Here is a 23,181-nt window from a genome sequence, read left to right on the forward strand (position 1 = left end):
CAAGGAGGCAGCTGAACAGATCCTGTGGTTAGGATGGGTGACCTGATCACATCCCCAGAGTCTGGGTGGGAAAATGCAGGAGGGTCCACAGTCTGAAAGAGAGCCCTAGGGCAGGTTGTGGTGGTAGAGGAAACTCCTAGCGTGTCAATCCAAACAGTCCATTGGGAGCCCAGGCCTTCAGTAGGAGGGGCATTGTGGCTCAGATGACATGAACCTCTCTGACTGGGCTAAGGCAGAGAGAAGCTCCAGTTCGGTCAGAACTTTCCAAGAAACCAGGGACACGCAGCCCAGGAAATAATACCTGTGGGAGTCAGCCCCACCTGTGACCCATTCATCTTATCTATCTGCCCTTGGGTTTCTGGCCCCCCAGTTTCTACACTGCTCTCCCTGGATCCCCAGCCCACTCCTTGGCTTCCCCAGCACCTCCCTTCCAGGCCCATTCTCCCCTCACACACACCACAGCTCTGTCTGCCACGGCAGCTCCTTTGTTTACTTCCAGAGCTGCCAGGCCCACCACTAGCCAAACACAACGAAGCCCAGCCAGTGAGGGGAGGCTCCAGGCTCAGTCTGTCCCCTCAGAGAGAGGTAATAGCCTCCAGACCAAGGAGGCAGCTCAAAGGTAGGCTGCCCCCGCACTGTGCCCAAGCTTCAGGCCTAGAGGGAAAGGGCACAAGGTCTGCCCATAGCTGGGTAGGAATCCCTACTGTTGAAGCAGCTTTGGTGAGGAGCCCCAGGAATCAAAGACCCAGCTGGAGGGAGGTAGGGGAAATGTTGAAGCCCCCTGGGTGGGAAGTGGAGGCTTAGACTGCTCCTGGTTCTCCCTGTGTCTATTCTGCCAGGTAGAACTGGAGTCCTCAGCCCAAGGCACCCATATGCCTGTCTCCCCACCAGAGGGCTATGTTCCCCTCCCAAAAGTCTGTGCCCTGTGCCTCCCCAAAGATTCCAGCTGAGAAAAGGAAGTGAGCATTTACTCTGGGCCAAGCCCCAAGCAGGAAACATTGTCAGGGTGTGCCTGGCATTTGTCTGTCTGAGGTTAGTGGGGAGTTTATTTATCTGATGTATAATTATGTATTTATATAATGTGTAATATAAAGGCAGGGGACTCCGATTCTGTTTCTGGAGCTGGGGGCTGATGGGTGAGCAGTGAGGTGTAGTGAGGGTGTCAAGCTGGAGGGCAACAGGGCCACAGACATGGTCATGTGAGGAACAGTGGTCAGTGGCGAGAGGAGATGCCCCAACAGGGAGAAGGAGAGCCTTGGCAGCCCAGATTCCCCAGGGGAGAGATAAAGGACTCTTTCAATGGTGCCCAGGTAATTCTGTGAGTATGGGGGTAGCAGGGCAGGCAGATATTGGTCGATGATGTAGGAATGATTTTAGAAGAAATGAAATCCCCAATTTCCCTCCCTTTTAGGGATCTATTTTGGAGACAACAAACTTGACTAAGGAATCTCAAGAAGAAAATATAATTCTGCTGCCAGGCCCCAATGGAGCAAATAGAGCTCGGGACCCAGGGGCCTTTGGAAGGAACAGGAATGCGGTTAGAGGTGAGCACTGGCCCTGCTTAGCTGCACTCTCTGTCCCATTGTGCTTCAGTTTCCAGGAGTGGGGGTGGGGATAGGGCTCTGAAAACTGAGTTTATACATGAAGCAACCCACCTCCCTGCCCTGGGTCAGTAATTCTTCAAGGGGTCACTGGGTCCCCTGGAGTAAACAAGAAATTTGCCACAGTTTTAGGCACAGTTTTGCTTTTTATCTCATCAATATACATTTAAATCTAACAGTCTAACAGCCTCACACTCCTCAACTCTATCCAAGCCCTCTCCTCTTCTCTCCCACTCTTGCCCAGTCAGCTTCTCAACTGTCCCAGGGACAGGAAGTCACCAGGCACAAATGTGATTTGAGGAGGCAGTGGCACCTGTGGCTCTCCTGAGAGGTGCTTAGGAGAGTCCAGAGGCTGAGAAGGCCCAGGTGAGGAGAAATGGTGGGCTGAGTCTCATCGGAAAGCACTGTTTCCTGGGACTCAGTCCCATTCAGAGTCTGTCTCCCTGGACCTGTGCCTGCCACTGGTCACATCAGCAGACGGGCAGCAATCCTCAGCCAGGGGAACTTGTGGATAAAAGGGGGCCTTTAGCCCAAGTCACACTCAGAGAGCGAGCAAGCTTATTGGAATCCCCTTTCACCCAAGCTGTGTAGATGCTCCTGCCACAGCTTCCTGACCCCTCTGTGATTCCAGGAGTGCAGGAAGGGGCTCTTGGGATGTGCCACCCAGGAAGACAGAGGGCCAGTGCTGCTACCTGCAGCCACACGACTCCACGACCATGTCCTCATACTGCTTATACACCACGTTGTTGGCAGAGTCAATGAAGAGGATGCTGATGGGACTCAGCCGCGTGGGCACACAGCAGGTGGGTGGTGTGGACTCGGGGTCCATGGAGTTCATCAGGGTCTGGATGACTGCATGATTCGTGGGCTCCAGGTGGGAGCGCAATGGGAACTCGCACAGCCCCTCGCAGTGGAAAGCCTCGTACTCAAGGGGTGCGATGATCCAGTCGTCCCAGCCCATGTCCTTGAAGTTGACATGCAGTGCCTTCCGACTGCAGCGAGCCTTAAGGTTCTTGCTGGGTCGCTTGCCCTGGCGAGTGGCCAGTGGGGCCCGCCGTTTTCGCCGCTGGCTGAACAGGTACTCATACACGGTCTTATCGTCCTGGCCAGAGCGGGCCTTAATCTCATTAAAGAACAGGTCCCGTTTCTTGGTGCGGCCAAACACCAGGAACAGGGCTTTCTCGTGGACCTGCCGGGCGGCGCGGTCGAAGCCCAGGCCACGGAGGTCCACGGCCCTGCCCCGTTCCCAGGCCTCCAGCTCCAGGCACAGCTGGGCCGAGTTCTTAAAGTTTCGGAAGAGCTTCCAGATGTCGAACACCTCCCAGCCAGATCCGTCCAGGCCTGGCACGGAGCGCACATCCAGCAAGGCGGCCGGCTGCCGGCCGCTGGGGCAGCTGGACAGCTTCAGCTGGGCAGCCCGCCCGCCTCCGGGGGCCGCTGGCTTGGCCGTGTCCGAGGGCTTCTTCCGCAAGATCCGCAGCTCGGCCCCCAGCAGCCCATCCTTCTCCAGGGCACTAATGTCAAACACGTACCTCTGCTTCCTGACCACGGGACCTCGGTCATCTAGAGAGAACACCCAGAAGTCATTCCCTGCAACCTCACCAAGGGAGCCAGTCACTTCGAGGCTGCGGGGGAAGGCCCCAGCTCTCTCCCAGTCCAGAGAGCTTTCTTTCACCTCTGCCCCATTCTGACAGAAGCCAAGAGCCAAACCACTGAGAGCCTTTTTGAAAATGAGAGCATTTCCTACATAGCCGACCAAGTAGGGGTGTTCACCTGAAGATGTGGCTGGGGATGATTTGCGTGATTCTGGTGTTTGTGTCATGATATACGTGTTATCAGAGATTTATCAGCTTTGTAACTGCCTTCTACCTATCTCTCTCCCAGCCATGAGCTAACGTGATGTCTCATTTGTGAGATAGGTGGAGTGAGCATTAAAATTACTCCTGTTGACTGGGCACAGTGGCTCACACCTGCAATCCCAGCACTTTGGGAGGCTGAGGTGGGTGGATTGCTTGAGCTCCGGAGTTCGAAACCAGCCTGCACAACATGGTGACACTCTGTCTCTACAAAAAATACAAAAATTAACCAGGCATGGTGGCGTGCACATGTAGTCCCAGCTACTCAGGAGGCTGAGGTGGGAGGATTGATTGACCCCAGGGAGGTCAAGGCTTCAGTGAGCCGTGAATTCGCTATTGCACTCCGGCCTGGGCAACAGAGAAAGACCCTGGCTAAAAAAAAAAAAAAAAAAAAAAAAAAAAAAAAAAAAAAAAAAAAAAAATACACGCTTTTCCAGAGGAGAATCCCAAGGTTCAGAGAAGTTAGATGACTTGCTCAAATTCTCAGCTGCTTCCACCATCCCTTAAAGGAGACCTTGGTGCTCTTGTTATGCAGATGAGGCACAGAGATGGGGAGTGACTTGACTAAGGTCACACAGCAAGTTAATGACAAAGCTGGTCCACACTGACCTACAGCCCAATTTTCCTGGCTTTCCAGTGCAAGGATTTTGTTGCCTATGTGTCTTACTCTCCTGAGCATGTGTGTGTGTTACAGTTGTATGCATGTGTGTGATTGGGTTCATATGTGAATATGAAAGAGTGTATACGTTAATGACGCATTATATGTATAAATGATTGGGCTTGTGTGACTATTTGAAGAGCACATATATGTCTGTATATGCATGATTGATCTTGTGTGTGTATGTAAGAAGGTGTGTGTGCACATGCATATGTGTGTGATTCGGCATGTGTGTACGTGTGTGATTCAGCACGTGTGTGTGTGAGTCAGCATGCATGTACATGTGTGATTCAGCATGTGTGTATAAACATAAGGCTATGTATGTGTATGTGAGAAGCTCAGTAGTATCTCCGAATCAGCATGCCCTCCTTCCTAAATTGCAATTTGCCATTGGGGAGCTTTCATATATTGCTCTAGAAGGTGACTAATTAGGCCTTTAAACTCCCCATCTCCCCCTCTCCAAGCTCCCTTAGTGCTGGGGGGCACACGGACTTATTTTATGAGCCCCCAAGGGGTCACAGCTTTCCCTGGCTGGGCAGGCAGCCAGACCACCTCCCCCACCTCAGCCAGACCTGCTGCCTCTGTGCCTCCCCCGCCCCCTGGCAGCCCCCTCCAGGCCAGCTCTAATGAGGAGCCTCTCCCACCCTCTGACCCCTCCCCCACCCTGCCAGCCTAGGACCAGAGCAAATGAGCTGCAGGCAACTTGAGCGACCAACAGCCCACCTCCCTCTTCACACTAGGAAGAAACTGAGGCCCTGAGAGGGGGAGGGACTTGCTTAGATCACACAGCAAGTGGAGAGGAAAAGCTGCAACAGTAACATTAGGTGGGCCGAGAGAGACAGAGGGGAGCAGGTAGTCTCTGGAGTTAATGAGGAGAATGAGGCATGTTCAGGACAGCATCTAAAGTTTTCATGTTGGAAGGGCTCTCAGAAACCACCCTGTCCAACCCCATATAGGTGTACAGATGGGAAAACGGAGACCCCAAGTGAGAAGGAGCTTTCCCAAGGTCATACTGCGAGTTAGGCCCTGGGTCTGCTCCCTCCCCATGTATCTGAACATCATTCCATGACTCCAAGATGCCCCATTTACTGTGTGCACCTCTCTTGCCTCCTCTATCCCCTTGCCTGAGGGCAAAGTTGCAGAAGCATGGGGACCTCAAGATTCATTTCTTTCTCTGCCGTCTGAGACCGCCTACAAACCTGTGAAGCTTGGAAAGTTCGGCCAGCCCAGCAGGTACAGATGCACAACTGAGCAATCAAGTCTCGGAATCTGGTCTCCAACTCTGCCACGAACTGGCAGGTCTTGTCTCTTCTCTAGGCTTTAGTGCCCACTCTGCACCTTGCAGGCGTTGGACCTGGTGCTTCCTAGGTGCCCTCCAGCCCTGATGTGTGGGCAGCCTAGGATCTGCTATGTGTGAGATATGTGTCAGTGTCCCCAGACACCCACCCCGGGCCAGATGCACACAGTGTCTCCCACCAGGGCAGTGCCAGGGCTTTGAAAGCCCCTCCATTCATGCAGATGCCCCTCCCTCTGAGCCGTGCCCCTGCCACCCCGCCCCCTCACCTTGCCCTTTGTCAATAAAGCTGGTGATGGTGTTGGCCAGGCCAGCCTCCAACTTCACGCTGCTGTTGCCTCCCTTTCTGTCAGCATCGGACAGCGTCCTGTACAGCGAGAGCATGTACTCGTGGGGTGTGATGGGGGGTGGGCGAAACGGCTCCTTGGGCTCTCGTGGGGGCCCGGGCTCCCTGGCCTTCTTCAGCAGGAAGGAGCTGGGGACAGATCCTGCTTTTGGGGGTGCCTTGCCTCCGGGAAGCTGTCCTTTTGGGGTCACAGTCCGGGCTGTAGCCTGCCTTGTTTGGGGAGGGTGTCCTGGCTTGGGTTCAGGGCCGCCCGGTCTGGGGGGCAGCTTTTTGGGTTCATCCTTCTTGGGCTGTGTCAGGCCTCCTGTCTGCCCGGTGCCTCCCTTTGCCCTGGCATTGGCATTGGTGGCCCCCCCACCATAGCTGTGACCCCCTGGCCTGAAGACGTTCCGGGCCAGGGGGGGCCTCTCCTTGGCCTCTGCTTTGGCCAATCCTGGCCTGGTCCCCTGGGGTCTCTGGCCCAAGTCAGGGGCACCCAACACAGTGCAGATGAATTCCAGGTCCAGCCAAGCCAGGTACCAAAGCAAGAAAGTGAGGAGTTTGGGGAGTCTCATCCTCTGGCCAGCCGCTGAATGACACCAAAGAGAACAGCGGCAGCAGCGAAGGTGCCTCTGGTTTGGCAGGAAAAACCATGAAAGGAGTGGACTTTCAAAAGCAGCGGCAGCAGCAGTAGCAGCAGAAGGAAAGGCTTTCTCCTCAGTCTGAGACTCTTGAAGTCTGCCGGGTGTGTGTTTGTATCCAGTCCCATAGTGGAAATGCTCTCGTATCCAGACGTGCACCGTCTCCAGTCAGCAGCTGAAAATAACTCGTTCTTGAAAGGAGAAAGCCGACCGCCCCCTTTCTCCTGCACAACTGACTGAGGGCTTGAAGGAGGCTTGTATAAGGCTGAGGGATTTTTCCAAGAAGGAAGAATGGCGTAATGCTGCCTGTGTGCTCCAGTTTTTTTTTCCCCCTAGTTTTGAATCCTTTCCAGTGAAAATACTTCACACACACACACACACACACACACACACACACTCACAGGCCTGCAGGTGCTCAGAAAAATCTTTTACAAACCTGAACTCAGGAATTGGAAACGGAATTCCAACCCAAACCAATTTAATTACTCTCTGATGTCATGCTGTCTAAACTCATTTAAGTGCGATATATTTATGTGAAAAAAATCACCGCTGCCCTTTCGAGGCCATGGCTCACGGGGGCTCCTGGCACAGAGCCCTGCAGCGGGACTCTAGGCTTAGGGGGCCTCCCCCTCCACAGGGCAGACTCAGGGGTCTTCACCTCCACCTCATGGAGCAGCCCACCCCACTTTCCCGAGGAGAGATGCTGAAGAATGAGCTCAAAGATCTTAAGCCCCAGAAGCATGGGGAGTGTGGGTTTGTAGTTAAGTTCTTAGAGTGTTTTTAAAGCAGTTTCAACTCCTGCATCTAGTCTGGGACCTGATTTGTTATGCGTGTGTGTGTGTGTGTGTGTGTGTGTGTGTGTGTGTTTATGTGCCTGTGTGTGTGTGTGCCTGTGTGTGTGTGTGCCTGTGTGTGTGTATTGGGAGTAGGGACAGCACAGATGGCAGCATTTACCCACATTTTCTTTTATTTTAATAAACTTGTGGTGACCCAGAGACTGAAAAATATCAGTGCCCACTACACCCCCTCCCTACCCCCAAATGCCATTGACTGAGTGCATATTCTTCAGGCTTGGGGGCACTGTCGCCCTTAAGTTCACTCCTTGGATGGCGGCAGGTCCAGGGTGTACCCCACCACCACCCCAGCAGAGACGTCCTCTGAGTTTTCTTAGACAAGACTGGCTGAGTCTGGGGCAGCAGCGGCCCCTACAGGAGGCTGGAAAAGCCATTTCCCACATGACGCTTTTTTTTTTTTTTTTTTTGAGACGGAGTCTCGCTCTGTCGAGTGCAGTGGCATGATCTCAGCTCACTGCAATCTCTGCCTCCCAGGTTCACGCCATTCCCCTGCCTCAGCCTCCCCAGTAGCTGGGACTACAGGCCCCTGCCACCACACCTGGCTGATTTTTTACGTTTGTAGTAGAGATGGGGTTTCACCATGTTAGCCAGGATGGTCTCGATCTCCTGACCTCGTGATCCGCCCGCCTCGGCCTCCCAAAGTGCTGGGATTACAGGCGTGAGCCACCGCGCCGGGCACAATTTCCCACATGATGTTTTTCTGGTAGCTCTGGAAGGTCTGAATTCCAGCTGAACTCAAGGGTTTCTTAAAGTGCCTCATTGAAGTATGGAAGATCCCTTCCTCTGGGGAACCTTCGCCGTAGAGCCCCTGGGCAACTTAACACAGGGTCAGCGGGGAAAGCTGTTCGCTTCACCTGAAATATCCTCCTCTCTCTCTCCCACAACTGGAGGAAGCACTCTACATCCTGAGAAGTTTAGCTGAAAATTTACCTCCTTCGGGAAGCCTTTCCTCGTCCCCAGACAGAGCCAGTTACCCCTTCTGTACATTTCTCTACAACAACACTTTTCACGCTGTAAGAAGGATGGCGGGGGAGAAGCAATAGTCAGATAGGCTTCCTTCTTTTTTTTTTTTTTTTTTTTTTTTTTGAGACAGAGTCTCACTCTGTCACCTAGGCTGGAGTGCAGTGGTGCGATCTTGGCTCACTGTAATCTCCACCTCCTGGGTTCAAACGATTCTCCTGCCTCAGCCTCTCGAGTAGCTGGGACTACAGGTGCACACCACCATGCCTATCTATTTTTTGTATTTTTAGTAGAGACGGAGTTTCACCATGTTGGCCAGTCTGGTCTCGAGCTCCTGACCTCAAGTGATCCACCCACCTTGGCCTCTCAAAGTGCTGGGATTGCAGGCATCTCTACCAAAAATACAAAAAATTAGCCGGGTGTGGAGGCAAAGGTTGCAGTGAGCCGAGATCGCACCACTGCACTCCAGCCTAGGTGACAGAGCTAGAGTCCATCACACACACACAAAATAAGTAAATAAATAATATTAATAAAATAAAAAAATTAAAAACAGACTTGTTCCCACTGAACCAGTCCTCTCTGGCATCCCTCCCTTCACTCCCTCCTCACCACCTCTGTCACTGCCCTGTCCTCCTCATTGCTTGCCTCGCTATGATTCTCCCCTATAACTGGCTTCTAGGCCTCCAGGCTCTCTCTGGTTCAACCCTCTACTAAAAGCTACCCATCAAACAAGTGCCAACCCACGTGCCACCTCCTCCATGAAGCCTTCTTGCATCCTCCAGAAAATGCACACTCCCCCTGAGCTGCCATCACACATTTTCTGTGCTCTTTTACATTTTTTGGCAGCTGAAAGTTTATTCAGTCTCTGCCTCTGCCCCCTATCCCAACACAGTTTGTTTCTTCCACTCTGTATTTTGTCATATTTTAAAATCATAACTTAATTCCTTATAACTATAATAATTTCTTTACATACCTGTCTCTCCCATTAGATTATGACTAGACTGTGCCATATTTATCTTTGAATTATACCCAGTGCTTGGCAGAGGGCCCAGCCCACAGCAGCTCTCAGTACGTGTTATATGAATAAATTAATCTCTAACTGGCCCTTATTGACAAAAATCATCATTTTCTACTTTGAGGTGTAGTTATTTGTGGACATAACCTGCCTTTCCCATTAGACTCTAAGTTTCTTGAAGGGAAGAATTGTCTTGCCACTTCTTAAGCATTTTGTAAGCTCAGAGAGTGAATAAATGAATGAGTTGAACAACCACAATGTCTCTGTACGTGGCTTGATAAAGAGCAAGGATTCTGGAGACAAACAGACCTGGTTTTGAAGCTTGGTTCTGCTATTTATGTATTGTGTGATCTTGGGAAGCCTCTAAACCCCTCTGAAACTCTAAACAGTGATAACGATAGTGCTTACCTCACAGGACTCTTGTTGGAGATTCAATGAAGTAAATTGCGGCCAGGCGCAGTGGCTCACGCCTGTAATCCCAGCACTTTGGGAGGCCGAGGCAGGTGGATCACGAGGTCAGGAGATCAAGACCATCCTGGCTAACATGGTGAAACCCTGTCTCTACTAAAAAAATAAATAAAATTAAATTGCATAAAGTGATCAACTATTAATGGCAATTGTTAATGATAGCTTTTTTTTTTTTTTTTTTTAGATGGAGTCTCACTCTGTCACCCAGGCTGGAGTACAGTGGCATGATCTTGGCTCACTGCAACCTCCACCCCCCGGGTTCAAGTGATTCTCCTGCCTCAGCCTCCCAAGTAGCTGGGACTACAGGTGCGTGCCACCACGCCCGGCTAATTTTTGTATTTTTAGTAGAGATGGGGTTTCACTGTGGTAGCCAGGATGGTCTCGATCTCCTGACCTTGTGATCTGCCTGCCTCGGCCTCCCAAAGTCCTGGGATTACAGGTGTAAGCCACCATACCCGGCCAATAATAGCTATTTTTTTTAAAGCACTTATTCCAGTCAACTAGACTCTGGGTTTTGTACTCCATTGCATTTATGTGTTATTTATCTTCATGACAATGCTATGAAGGTAGTGGTTTTCATTGTTGTTTTTTGAGACAGGGTCTTACCTGTTGCCCAGGTTGGAGTGCAATGGCGTGATCATGGGGCTCAGGTGATCCTCCCACCTCAGCCTCCCAAGTAGCTAGGACTACAGGTGCACATCACGATGCCCAGCTAATTTTTGTATTCTTTGTAGAGACAGGGTCTCACCATGTTGCCCAGGCTGGTCTCAAATTTCTGGGCTCAAGTGATCTGCCCGCCTTGGCTTCCCAAAGTGCTGAGATTACAGGTGTGAATCACCACATGTGGCCGAAAGTAACTTTTTTTATTTTTTTGAGATGGAGCCTCGCTCTCTCACCCAGTCTGGAGTGCAGTGGCGCAATCTCAGCTCACTGCAACCCCCGCCTCCTGGGTTCAAGGGGTTTTCCTGCTTCAGCCTCCTGAGTAGCTGGGATTACAGATGTGTACCACCACGCCCAGCTAATTTTTGTATTTTTAGTAGAGATGGGGTTTCACCATGTTGGCCAGGCTGGTCCCAACTCCTGACCTCAGGTGATCCACAAAAAAGCATTTTGTAAGCTCAGAGAGTGAATAAATGAACGAGTTGAACAACCACAATGTCTCTGTATGTGGCTTGGCCTCCCCTAGTGCTGGGATTACAGGCATCAGCCGCCGTGCCCAGCCCGAAGGTAACTCTTGATACCCGTCTTTTTTTTTTTTTTTTTTTGAGACAGAGTCTTGCTCTGTCACTTAGGCTAGAGTGAAGAGTGCAGTGGCTCAATCTCAGCTCATTACAACCTCTGCCTCCCAGTTTAAGTGATTCTCCTGCCTCAGCCTCCCAAGTAGCTGGGACTACCGATGCGCACCAAGACGCCCGGCTAATTTTTTGTATTTTTGTGGAGACGGGGGTTTCACCATGTTGGCCAGGCTGGTCTCGAACTCCTGACCTCAAGTGATCTGCCCACCTCGGCCTCCCAAAGTGCTAGGATTACAGGCATGAGCCACCATGCCTGGCCCAATACTCTCATTTTAAAGATAAATAAATTTAGGTTCAGAAAGGTTAAATTATTTTTTAAATCTAATTTTGGCTTCAACACATTTTATACCCAAAAAGCCTAATCTGGCCCCTAGAAACACTAGAAGTGATAGGGCACTGGGGAAAGTTACAGTATTCCTTTCAGTCAACGTCTAACCCAGTGGGCTGGGACTTTGGGGACATGGAGGAGTCTCGAGGCCAGGGCTATTGTTTGAGGAACAGGGAACTCCCAGAAATGGGCTGGGAGCAGGGAAAGGGGACTCTGAGCTTGGTTAGAAGGCCCTCTCCAGAGAGGAGCCCAGGGTTCCTGCCTGGCTCTCACTATAAAGGTGACTAATCACTTTGGTTCCCTCTGGTAATTGCAACCAGATGCTGCCGCTGGCAGTGCTTCAGTCCCGACATGTTTAATTACTGGGACACAGCGTCCCTGGGTCCCCCGTGTCCCCCAACCTCCCCCTCTCCTGTCAGCAATATTAATGTCAAACTTGAGGTAGAGGATGGGAGCCTTGGGAAGCCACTGACATGGAAGTAATCTCTGCAGCCCCTTCTGCCATGTAGAGCCTTTTGCTTTTATGTTTCCCCATCCATTGTCTCATTGCTGTTCCATAAACCATCCTTATAAAGTCAGTTGGCCAGATTATTATTATTATTATTATTATTTTTGGAGACAGAGTCTAGTTCTGTTGCCCAGGCTGGAGTGCAATGGCATGATATCGGCTCACTGCAACCTCTGCCTCCCAGGTTCGAGCGATTCTCCTGTCTCAGCCTCCCAAGTAGCTGGGACTACAGGCATGCGCCACCACCCCTGGCTAATTTTTGTATTTTTAGTAGAGACAGGGTTTCACCATGCTGGCCAGGCTGGTCTCGAACTCCTGACCTCAAATGATCCACCCACCTCAGCCTCCCAAAGTGCTGGGATTACAGGCGTGAGCCACTGCGCCGGCCGGCCAGATTATTATTATCCCTTTTTTATTGTGTCTCCAGATGAGTAAACAGTGAACTGAGTGATAATAATAATAATCCCTTTTTCAAGCACTTGTCAATTTTCAAAATGGCTTCCCATTCATGATGCTATCCGAACCTCCCGAGATCTCTCCGGGAGTCAGTCCTGCACAGCACAGCAGCTGAGAGAACAGGCGCTGGGACCAGACAATGCAGTGTTCCAGTTCTGCCATTTGCCAATTGGGTGATGTTGGGTATTCATTTCTTTATCTACTTAACTATTCAGCAAACATTTATTGGGTGCCTACCATGGGATGGGCCCCAGGTAGAGTTCTGGGTATCTAGCCATGGACAAGACAAACCAAGTGTTTTATCTGAAATTTCTCTTATGCGTTTGTTTGTCTCTTCTCACATTCTGGTGGAAGAGACAGAGGAACAAACACATAAGAGAATGCTAAGTGCTGTGAAGAAAAATTAAGCAGGGTCAAAGAGGTGTCTATTTTAGCAAGGAATGCCCTTTGAGGGGGTGATGTTTGGGCAGAGACCCAGATGTAGTGAGAAAACGAGACATACTGAAGTCTGGAGGACAAGCATTCCAGGTGGGGGGAACAGCAGTTGCAAAGGCCCTGAGGCCTTTGCACTTGGTACATCTGAGGTAAGGAGGAGCTGGTGTGGCTGAAGCAGAGTGAGCGAAGGGGGCAGTGGCAGGAGGTGAGGTCAGATCATGCCAGAACCACATCTTGTATGGCCTTATAAGCCCTGGAAAGGGAGCTGGATTTTCTTTTCTTTTTCTTTTGTTTTTTTGAGACAAGAGTCTTGCTCTGTTGCCCATGCTGGAGTGCAATGGTGTGATCTCAGCTTACTGCAACTTCCGCCTTCTGGTTTCAAGCGATTCTCTTGCCTCAGCCTCCCAAGTAGCTGGGATTACAGGTGCCCGTCACCATGCCCAGCTAATTTTTGTATTTTTAGTAGAGACAGGTTTTCACCATGTTGGCCAGGCTGGTCTCGAACTCCTGACCTCCTGATCTGCCCACCTAGGCCTCCCAAAGTGCTGGGATTACAGGCATGGGCCACCGCACCCCGTCTAATTTTTGTATTTTTAGTAGGGATGGGGTTTCACCATATTGGTCAGGCTGGGCTGGTCTCAAACTCCTGACTTCAGGTGATCCACCCGCCTCAGCCTCCCAAAGCGCTGGGATTACAGGTGTGAGCCACCGTGCCTGGCCTGGATTTTACTTTTAGTGCACTGGGAACCCAATGGGATGTTTTAAGCAGGAGAGTAGTGAAATAATGATTAAGAGCTAAGTCACTCACCTTCAAATCCTGGTTCCCCCCATTTATCAGCTATGTAATCTCAAGCAAATTATTTCATCTCTCCCTGCCTCAGTTTCCTCATGTATAAAATGGGAATAATAACGATATACCTAGCTGGGCAAACCGGTAAAAACATACTTGGCTCACACCTATAATCTCAGCACTTTGGGAGTCTGAGATGGGAGGATTGCTTGAGCCCAGTAGTTCGAGACCAGCCTGGGCAACATAGCAAGACCTGTCTCTATAAAAATAAAAAAAACTGGCCGGGTGCAGTGGCTCACGCCTGTAATCCTAGCACTTTGGGAGGCAGAGGCGGGGCAGATAACAAATTCAGAAGTTCGAGACCAGCCTGGCCAACATGGTGAAACTCTGACTCTACTAAAAATACAAAAATTAGCTGGGCATGGTGGCGGGCACCTGTAATCCTAGCTACTCGGGAGGCTGAGGCAGGAAAATCATTTGAACCCAGGAAGCGGAGGTTGCAGTGAGCTGAGATAGCACCATTGCACTCCAGTCTGGGCGACGGGGTGAGACTCCATCTCAAAAAACAAAAAAATAAAAAAATAGGCTGGGCATGGTGGCTCATGCCTGTAATCCCAGCACTTTGGGAGGCTGAGGCGGGCAGATCACCTGAGGTTGTGAGTTCGAGACCAGCCTGACCAACATGGAGAAACCCCCATCTCTACTAAAAATACAAAATTAGCTGGGTGTGGTGGTGCATGCCTGTAATCCCACTATTCGGGAGGCTGAGGCAGGAGAATTGCTTGAACCCGGGAGGCGGAGGTTGCAGTGAGCTGAGATCGCGCCATTGCACTCCAGCGTGGGCAACAAGAGCAAAACTCTGTCTCAAAAAATAATAATAAAAATAAATAAATAAAAATAAAACAATAAAATAAAATAAATAAGCCAGGTGTGGTGGCTCACACCTGTAATCCCAGCACTTCGGGAGGCTGAGGTGGGCAGATTACCTGAGGTCAGGAGTTTGAGACCAGCCTGGCCAACATGGTGAAACCCCGTCTCTACTAAAAATACAAAAAAAATAGCTGAATGTGGTGGCAGGCACCTGTAATTCCAGCTATTTGGGAGTCTGAGGAAGGAGAATTGCTTGAACCCAGGAGGCAGAGGTTGCAGTGAGCTGAGATCCAGCCATTGCACTCCAGCCTGGGCAACAAGAGCGAAACTCCGTCTCAAAAACAACAACAAAAAAAAACTTGTATCACAGAGTGGTTATAAGAATTAATGTGTTTATATATGTAAAGTACCTTTCAATGACCAAAATACAGTATGTGCTTCATAAATTATAATTTTATTTATTGCTTTTTTTTTTTTTTTTTGAGACAGGGTCTCACTCTGTCATCCAGGCAGGAGTGCAGTGGTGAGATCTCGGCTCACTGCAGCCTCGAACTCCTGAGCTCAAGTGATCCTCCCTTCTCAGCCTCCTGAGTAGTTGGGACTACAGGTGCAAGCCACTGCACCTGGCTAATCATAAATTACAGTTTTGTTTTGTTTTGTTTTTTTAAAAAAGATTCCACTGTTAATATTGTCCTTGTTTCATAAATGAGGAAATTAAGCCTCTGAGTAGTTAAGTGATCGGCACAAGTTCACACAGCTAAAGACGACCGAGCTAGAATTCAACCCAAGACCCTAATTCTGAATCCAGTGCCCTTCCCACGTAAAGAGAGGACTGACCACCCTACAGGTTAGGAGCTGGCAGGGAGGAAAGCCCAGAGTCCCTTCCCTTTTCATCTGTGCTCCTTCTAATCTGTGGGGACTGCCTGTCCCAACCCGAGAATCCCAGCAAGAGCAGAGCCGCCTCTGCCTACACTCACCCGCGCCGCAAACCTGGTTTCTTTTCTTTTCTTTTTTATTATTATTATACTTTAAGTTCTAGGGTACATGTGCACAGCATGCAGGTTTGTTACATATGTTTTTTTAAAATTTTTTTATTATACTTTAAGTTCTAGGGTACATGTGCACAATGTGAAGGTTTGTTACATATGTATACGTGTGCCACGTTGGTATGCTGCACCCATTAACTCGTCATTTACATTAGGTATATCTCCTAATGCTACCCCTTCCCCCTCCCCCCACCTCACAACAGGCCCCGGTGTGTGATGTTCCCCTTCCTGTGTCCAAGTGTTCTTATTGTTCAATTCCCGCGTGTTCTCACTCATAGGTGGGAATTTAACAATGAAAACCTGGTTTCTTTTCTAGACTCCGCAGCAGTGGCCACTGCTCAGGACGCGCTCTCAAGGGCTCCCCCTGCTGGGATACTCGGGAGCTGCACCTTGCTAGAGTTGAGTGTCTCTGGGCCTTCTGTCCATAAGTCAATCAAATTCCTTCCCTGGGCTGCAAATACCTGTACTACAATCTGAAGCTGGAAATTGTATGTGAGTGTTGCGTGTGTCTGTCTGTTGTGGGTAGAGGGGTGTGAATAAAATAACCACATGTTTTACATATTTATTCTAGAAAATATTTTTATTTTTAAAATAATTCTAAAACTTATAAAAAGTCATACATATTAGGAAGAAAAGTAATATGAATTCATGATTTTAAAAATTCAAACAGTAGAAAAGAATGCAAAAGAAAATATTTTCCTCCCACCCCAGACCCTGGGTCTTTCAGTCCTCCCCAGAAGCAACAACTCTGATCAGTCTCCTAGATGACTTTCCACACAATATAGTAACATCAGCTTTTTAAAAACTTTATTAGGCAGGGCACGGTGGCTCATGCCTGTAATCCCAGCACTTTGGGAGGCTGAGGCGGGAAAACTGCCTGAGCCCAGGAGTTGGAGATCAGTCTGAGCAACATGGCACAAGCCCGTCTCTATAAAATAAAAAAAAAATTTAAACACCTTTTTATCGATGCATGATATTCATACCAAATATATTTGATTATAAAATTAAATCATGTTCATTGTAAAAATATTCAAATAATACCAAAGTTTATAAAGTTAAAAGAGAAAGTTCCCCTCTCCCCTCACACCCCAATCTCTCTAATCACAGGAAACCTCTCTAATCACTGGAAACCTTGTTGTCATTCTTGAGCTCAGAAATCTCAGATCCTTGCTGGACTCCTCCACTCCTCCTTCCCTCCATCTAATTCTAATTCCCACTTTGTGTATAAGAACCCTAGCTGGTAAGTACTGTTATCCCCATATTGCAGCTGAGGAATTTGAGGCTCAGAAAGGGAAAGAGGGTTGCTCAAGAACATAAGGCAAGCTGGACGCGGTGGTGCACATCTGTAGTCCTGGCTACGGGACTTTTTGTTTTTTTCAAAAAAAAAAAAAAAAATATATATATATATATAGTTAAGGGCCCCCCCGACTTTTTTTTTTTTTTTTTTTTTGTCTCACTCTGTCACCCAGGCTGGAGTGCAGTGGAGCAATCTTGGCTCACTGTAACCTCCTCCTCACAGGTTCAAGCGATTCTTGTGCCTCAGCCTTCCGAGCAGCTGGGATCACAGGTGCACGACACCAGGCCCGGCTAATTTGTGTATTTTTAGTAGAGACAGGGTTTCGCCATGTTGGCCAGGCTGGTCTCAAACTTCTGGCTTCAAGCGATCCACTTGCCTCCACCTCCCAAAGTGCTGGGATTACAGGCATGAGCCATCAGGCCTGACCAAGGGCCCATTTTTGAGGAAGGAGAGGACCTGGTCCTGTGGGAACTGTGACTGGACATCCTTTATTGCCCAAGCCCTGAGTGATAGTGAAAAGATGTCATCCACTTCAAGAATCTCAAGCTTGGGTACGCTGGTCACTTCGAGCCTGACTTAGTGAGTGAGAGGGGGCTAGGACTGGAATAAGAACTGCCTACTGAGGCGGGGTCAGGACCAGGGAGAAAATATCCAGCTGACAAAGGGAATCCAACTAGGGAGATTGACACAATTCAACCAGATGGTGGCATCAGCAAGAGGAGTGTCCGGCATTCCTAACACATCCCATGCTCTAGCATGCTGCTGTGCCTTTGCACATGCTGCTTGGAATCCCCGCCACCACCCCACCCCTGCCACTTTGCTTAGCATTTTTTTTTGAGATGGGGTCTTGCTATGCTGCCCAGGCTGGTCTCAAACTCCTAAGCTCAAGAGGTTCTTCTGACTCAGCCTCTTGAGTGGGTGGGACTACAGCCACATGCCACCATGCCTGGCTTGTCTGCTTAGCATTTTTTTTTTTTGAGACAGGGTCTTGCTGTGTTGCCCAGGTTGGAGTGCAGTGGCTTGAACACAGCTCACTGCAGCCTCAACCTCCTGGGCTCAAGCGATCCTTCCTACCTCAGCCTCCAGAATAGTTGGGACTACAGTAGTGCACCACCACACCTGGCTAATTTTAGCGTTTTTATCCTTCACAAACAAGTCATAGTGGCCTGATGCTGTGTAGCCAGCTGCTCCCTCTTTATAGAATTTACTACACTGTGTGTGTGTGAACTATTTCTTTACTTGCTTGCCTGCCATGTGAGTTTGTGAACAGAGGCTCTGGACAGAGTTCATTTATTATTGTTCTTTGGGTCCCTCCCAGTGCATAACTCAACTTTTGGCACACAGTAGGTGCTCAATCAATATTTTAAAAATAATGAATGAATGGAACTTCAGCGCGGCAGCTCAAGCCTATAATCCCAGCACTTTGGGAGGCTAAAGTAGGAACATTGCTTGATGCCAGGAATTCAAGACCAACCTGGACAACACAGTGAGTCCCCATCTCTACAAAAAAATTTTTAAACAAATTAGCCAGGACTGGTGGCACAGGCCTATAGTCTTAGCTACTCGGGAGGCTGAGCCAGGAGGATCGCTTGAGCCCAGGAGATTGAAGCTGCAGTGAGCTATGATCAAATCACTGCACTCCAACCTGAGTGAAAGAGCAAAACCCTGTCTCTTAAAAAAAAAAAAAGAGAGAGAGAGAGAATGGGCCGGGCGTCGCGGCTCACGCCTGTAATCCCAGCACTTTGGGAAGCCGAGGTGGGCGGATCACTTGAGGTCAGGAATTCAAGACCAGCCTCGCTAACATGGTGAAACCCCATCTCTACTGAAAAAAAAAAAAAAAGCTGGGTGTGGTGGTGGTGGGCGCCTGTAATCCCAGCTTCTCAGGAGGCTGAGGCACGAGGATCACTTGAACCCAGGAGGCGGAGGTTGCAATGAGCCAAGATCGTGCCACTGCACTCCAGCCTGGGCTACAAAGTGAGACTCTGTAAAAAAAAAAAAAAAGAATGGACTCAGAGGAACAGCAGCAAGAGACTATCGTTTTGGTGCTCCAGACTGTTACCTTGCAGTGAGAAAGAAAGAGGAAAGTGGTTGACTTTTTTTCCCTCTATTTTTCCCTCTCTGTCATCCTCAGCTCACTTTAGTCACTCAACATGTCTCCATGTTAACATGGAGAGGAAGATGGGGGTGGGAAAAGTCTTCTTTGAACCAGTGTAATAGCTGGCTTAGTGCTTTCTGGGCCTCGCAGATGTTTATAGCCATCTCTATCCATCATCAAAGCATCATGGGGTGCTTTTATACACTCTTCAGGGGTTCCCTACTGGCCCCTCTCCTGCAGTTCCCTTAGCAAAGGCATCTATTAATGGCCATTTGTCTAGCTTCTTGTTCCTGGGGTCCCTTTATACCTCCAGGAAGCCCTACTGAACAGGACCTAATAGTCAGCAGGCTTGTCTCTTCTTGCTAGAGTTCACAGGCAGGAAGCATATCCTGGTCACGATACTCCCTAAGTGCAATGGTATGGATTCTGCATCTCAGATTCTCATGGAAGCCCCCTCTCCTAGTCACTTGGTTTGAGCGGTTAAAAGTAATGTCCTCTTAATCTTCCCCAAGGAGGAATGGGGACTCATAGCCAGAAATATCTCCACACAAATTATCTATCCTCCACCTGCAGACCCCTTTATATTGGGATAAGGGATTTAGGAACTTTCAAACAGATTTTAGACTAACAGAAAAAAAAAAAAAAAAAAAAAAATATATATATATATATATATATATATATACACAAATATATATGTAGTGATTTAGCACCTCATTTTGAAATTTCACATACATATATATATATATTTTTTAATTCAGTTAGTCCAGACGGCCTCTTGGCATGGGCTAGGAGGAATATGTATAAATAATGAGCAAGGCTGGGTGTAGGAAAGATCCATATTATAGCCCTCAGAGAGGGTTTGAGTACAAGGCATATTTCTAGAGATGGAATTTAGGATATAAAGGAAGAAACCGTTCCCCTCACCTGGCAGGGACCAGGGTTGATTTTCTTTCAACTCATCCATTGCCTTTCCCTCCAATCCAGCCTCCTTTGAGAACTCCCCAGTCTGGTTCATCAGACAGGTCTGAACATGATCAGACTTGAATTGTCTGGTTTAAGTCTTTATAGGACTCTTGGGCCCCAAGCCAGGTGATAGGTAGGAACACCTGTTTGTACGTCTCAAATGCTCCATGCAGTTTGCAGAATGCGTTTTTTTTCTGTTTTTTTTTCCTTTTTTTTTTTTTTTCGAGACAGGGTCTTACTCCTGTCACCCAGGCTAGAGTGCAGTAGGGCCATCACGGCTCATTGCAGCCTCGACCTCCTGGGCTCAAGCAATCCTCTCACCTCATTTTTTTATTTTTTTGTAGAGACAAGGTCTAACTATGTTGCCCAGGCTGGTCTCCAACTCCTGGGCCCAAGTGATCCACCTGTCTTGGCCTTCTAAAGTGCTGGGGTTACAGGCGTGAGCCACTGCACCCAGCCATCTGCAGGTTGTGTAAGACTGATGTGGTGTACTCTTATGCCTACAGAACCACTAGGGCAGGGGTTTCTAATCCCCCAGGCCATGGACTACTATCAGTCTGTGACCTGTTAGGACCCTGGCAGCACAGTAGGAGTTGAGCAGATAAGCGAGCATTACCACCTGAGCTCCACCTCCTGTCAGTTCAGCAGCAGCATTAGATTCTCATAGGAGGCAAATCTTATTGAGACCTGTGCATGCAAGGGATCTAGGTTACACACTCATGAGAATCTAATGCCTGATGATCTGAGGTGGAAGTCTCATCTCAAAACCATTCCCACCCACCCCTGCCCATCCCTGTTTCACACACCAGCTAATTCCACTTTGGGCTTTGGCTCAGATAATATCCAGTTGTACTACATTATTATGTTTTAATACAATTTCCAACTTGTCCTTACTACATTGTATTATTATTCAATACTAGAACATAATCAATGCTCAATAAATGTCCACTGGGTAAATGAATAAATAAGGGAATGAATCCCCCTTTACAAACATCAAAGATTACTATTTGGTTTGGTATATCTTGGTAGTCTGAAACCTGTTTACTCCTCATAGTCTTTTTCTTTGAGATGAACTTTCGCTCTTGTTGCCCAGGCTAGAGCACAATGGTGCAATCTCGGCTCACCGCAACCTCCGCCTCCCGGGTTCAAGTGATTCTCCTGCCTCAGCCTCCCGAGTAGCTGGGATTACAGGCATGCGCCACCACGCCTAGCTAATTTTATATTTTTAGTAGAGATGGGGTTTCTCCCTGTTGGTCAGGATGGTATTGAACTCCCAACCTCAGGTGATCTGCCCACCTCAGCCTCCCAAAGTGCTGGGATTACAGGCGTGAGCCACCGCACCCGGCCGACTCCTCATAGTCTTAAAAAATATTGTCTAGTTTGCTAATGGATGTTATGTCATTAAACTTTGTAACACTAGGGCTGACTTGATTCATTCATTCAATGGACACTTACTTGATACCTACCATGTGTGTAAGACTGTGCTAAATCCCAGGAATAAGTCTCCTATCCACACAAAGCTTAAATTTTGGAGGGAATGTTAATAGGAAAACAAAATAATAAATGGAAAGTGCTATGAAAGAAACAGAAGACGGCCGGGTGCGGTGGCGCATGCCTGTAATGCCAGCATTTTGGGAGGCTGAGGCGGGCGGATCACGAGGTCAGGAGATCAAGACCATCCTGGCTAACACGGTGAAACCCCGTCTCTACTAAAAATACAAAAAAATTAGCCGGGCGTGGTGGCGGGCACCTGTGGTTCCAGCTATTGGGGAGGCTGAGGCAGAAGAATGGCGTGAACCCGGATGGTGGAGCTTGCAGTGAGCCGAGATTGCGCCGCTGCACTCCAGCCTGGGCGACAAAGCAAGACCCCGTCTCAAAAAGAAAAGAAACAGAAGACTATCCTAGAAAGTATAGGGTATTACTTTAGATAGCATGGTCAGGGAAGACCTAGTTGAGGAAGTATCATTTAAGCTGGGACCTGAAGGACAGGAAGGTACCAGCTAGGCCAAGAGCTGGGGGAAAAGTGGTCTAGGTAGCTGGCATAGTGTATGCAAACGCCCTGAGGCAGAAAAGAGCTTGATGTGCATAATATTTAGATTGTTTCATTTGTATTTCAAATATTGTTGCAGTGAACATTCAAGCACAATGCCTGTTGTGGGATTATTTCCCTAGGATGGAATCCCACACCACTGCTTCTTTGCATCGTTTTCTCTGTCTAGTGCCTGGAGATGTTCCTTTTCCCCTCTCTAGATAGTTTGCCTTTCAGAATCCGTGTCCTTCCTTCCCCTTTTACTCTCCACTTTCTCTATTTCTCAAATTAGCTATTAAGATCTTTTTTGTGTTCTTACAGGAGAAAGATAAAATATAGCTTTTAAGCGTTCCTTTCTCAGGTTACCTTTGGCTGTGGATTAACCTGAAGCCTTGCTGTTTCACTCGAGCTATCCACTCATTCACCCATTCACTCAGCACTTATTGAGCACCTATTTTGTACCAGGCCTTGTGCTGAGCGCTATAGTCAGATGACCAAATTACAGTCTCTACGCTCAAGCTCACAATCTCATGCAGCGCTTCCTAAAACGTGTTCCCAATTATCAGAATCACCCTGGGTACTTTCTAAAATGCAGATTCCTGGACTCCACCCCCGGTTTAGGGATTCTCTGGGGGTGGAAACCAAGAGTCTGCATTTACCAGTTTTGTTTTTAATTCCTACTAAAAATTGAGAACCACTGAGTGCAAGAGTGAGGCAGGTAAATGGAGTTTACAACTCTAAGAAAGTGCATTAACAATTTATACACAAGGCCGGGCGCGGTGGCTCACGCCTGTAATCCCAGCCCTTTGGGAGGCCGAGGCGGGAGGATCACGAGGTCAAGAGAGATCGAGACCATCCTGGCCAACATGGTGAAATCCTGTCTCTACTAAAAATACAAAAATTAGCCGGGCGTGGTGGCGGGCGCCTGTAGTCCCAGCTACTCGGGAGGCTGAGGCAGGAGAATTACTTGAACCTGGGAGGCAGAGGTTGCAGTGAGCCGAGATCGTGCCAATGCACTCCAGCCTGGCGACAGAGCAAGACTCCATTTCAAAAAAAAAAAAAAAAATTTATACACAAAATGCTACAGGAATAACGCATGGGTCCTATTGGGAAGAAAAAGTTCTCTAGAAGTCAGGCTTAAGCAGAACTGCAGCTCCGGGACGGATTAAGTCAGGTAAAGGTAACACTCTGTGCAGAGACATGCAGACAAAACCGAGTGTTGAGTAAGTAACTCGCCTGTAAGTGTTATGCTGCCTGAAGCTTCTCGGAGCGTCTGAGCAGCAAGGTGAACAACCCTCAGAAACCGGTCGCGCTGCCAGTATTATCGCTAACCAGTGGCAGCGAGCCCCTTTGTTTCTCGGCAGTTGTAATTGTAGTCTGGTTTGTAGGTGGAGCTG

The 23,181-nt window shown here is 48.7% G+C and overlaps 1 protein-coding gene, 1 long non-coding RNA gene and 1 other non-coding gene across 4 annotated transcripts, besides 9 other annotated features; 1 reads left to right on the plus strand and 2 right to left on the minus strand.

The window, feature by feature from the left end:
* Positions 1,410–3,032, plus strand: GDF5-AS1 (GDF5 antisense RNA 1). Its single transcript, NR_161326.1, has 2 exons — positions 1,410–1,544; positions 2,233–3,032. It is a non-coding gene; the product is annotated as a GDF5 antisense RNA 1 (long non-coding RNA).
* GDF5 (growth differentiation factor 5) lies at positions 1,728–23,130 on the minus strand. 2 transcript variants are annotated; one of them, NM_001319138.2, is made up of 4 exons: positions 23,021–23,130; positions 9,613–9,768; positions 5,679–6,550; positions 1,728–3,164 (listed from the first exon to the last, which is right to left on the minus strand). In NM_001319138.2, exons 3-4 carry the CDS (start codon positions 6,307–6,309, stop codon positions 2,290–2,292), a joined length of 1,506 nt encoding a protein of 501 aa, NP_001306067.1. In that variant the 5' UTR covers positions 6,310–6,550; positions 9,613–9,768; positions 23,021–23,130; the 3' UTR covers positions 1,728–2,289. The 2 variants fall into 2 exon arrangements, with proteins under 2 accessions (NP_001306067.1, NP_000548.2); NM_000557.5 differs by lacking the exons at positions 9,613–9,768; positions 23,021–23,130 and having other exon boundaries at positions 5,679–6,609.
* Positions 6,310–7,064: a promoter, noted in NCBI's record as "-448 to +319 promoter fragment". NCBI's record gives the evidence for it as "EXISTENCE:reporter gene assay evidence [ECO:0000049][PMID:23356643]".
* Positions 6,372–6,420: a protein binding site, noted in NCBI's record as "segment A probe containing Sox sites". NCBI's record gives its function as "positive regulation of promoter activity" and the evidence as "EXISTENCE:protein binding evidence [ECO:0000024][PMID:23356643]".
* Positions 6,529–6,782: a promoter, noted in NCBI's record as "-115 core promoter; StuI/ApaL1 fragment". NCBI's record gives the evidence for it as "EXISTENCE:reporter gene assay evidence [ECO:0000049][PMID:10512744]".
* Positions 6,574–6,599: a protein binding site, noted in NCBI's record as "rs143383 probe". NCBI's record gives the evidence for it as "EXISTENCE:protein binding evidence [ECO:0000024][PMID:23825960]".
* Positions 6,574–6,599: a protein binding site, noted in NCBI's record as "rs143383 probe". NCBI's record gives the evidence for it as "EXISTENCE:protein binding evidence [ECO:0000024][PMID:23825960]".
* Positions 6,574–6,599: a protein binding site, noted in NCBI's record as "rs143383 probe". NCBI's record gives the evidence for it as "EXISTENCE:protein binding evidence [ECO:0000024][PMID:23825960]".
* Positions 6,654–6,678: a protein binding site, noted in NCBI's record as "Inr; -41 bp C-allele probe". NCBI's record gives the evidence for it as "EXISTENCE:protein binding evidence [ECO:0000024][PMID:10512744, PMID:22929025]".
* Positions 7,474–7,533: a silencer, noted in NCBI's record as "silent region_12857". NCBI's record gives its function as "represses an Ori minimal core promoter by ATAC-STARR-seq in GM12878 lymphoblastoid cells {active_cell/tissue: GM12878}" and the evidence as "EXISTENCE:reporter gene assay evidence [ECO:0000049][PMID:35858748]".
* MIR1289-1 (microRNA 1289-1) lies at positions 22,335–22,478 on the minus strand. Its single transcript, NR_031620.1, has one exon. It is a non-coding gene; the product is annotated as a microRNA 1289-1 (primary transcript).
* Positions 22,914–22,963: an enhancer, noted in NCBI's record as "active region_17783". NCBI's record gives its function as "activates an Ori minimal core promoter by ATAC-STARR-seq in GM12878 lymphoblastoid cells {active_cell/tissue: GM12878}" and the evidence as "EXISTENCE:reporter gene assay evidence [ECO:0000049][PMID:35858748]".

The sequence above is a fragment of the Homo sapiens genome, chromosome 20, assembly GCF_000001405.40.
Source record: "Homo sapiens chromosome 20, GRCh38.p14 Primary Assembly".
Classification (NCBI taxonomy): Eukaryota; Metazoa; Chordata; class Mammalia; order Primates; family Hominidae; genus Homo; species Homo sapiens.

What these genes read in the sequence shown, in the direction of transcription:
- GDF5 (NM_001319138.2), bottom strand. Translation starts at nt 6,309, where the DNA reads ATGAGACTCCCCAAACTCCTCACTTTCTTGCTTTGGTACCTGGCTTGG. An exon ending in CTTTATTGACAAAGGGCAAG is followed by an intron (nt 3,165 to 5,678) that starts GTGAGGGGGCGG and finishes TGTTCTCTCTAG; the next exon opens with ATGACCGAGGTCCCGTGGTC.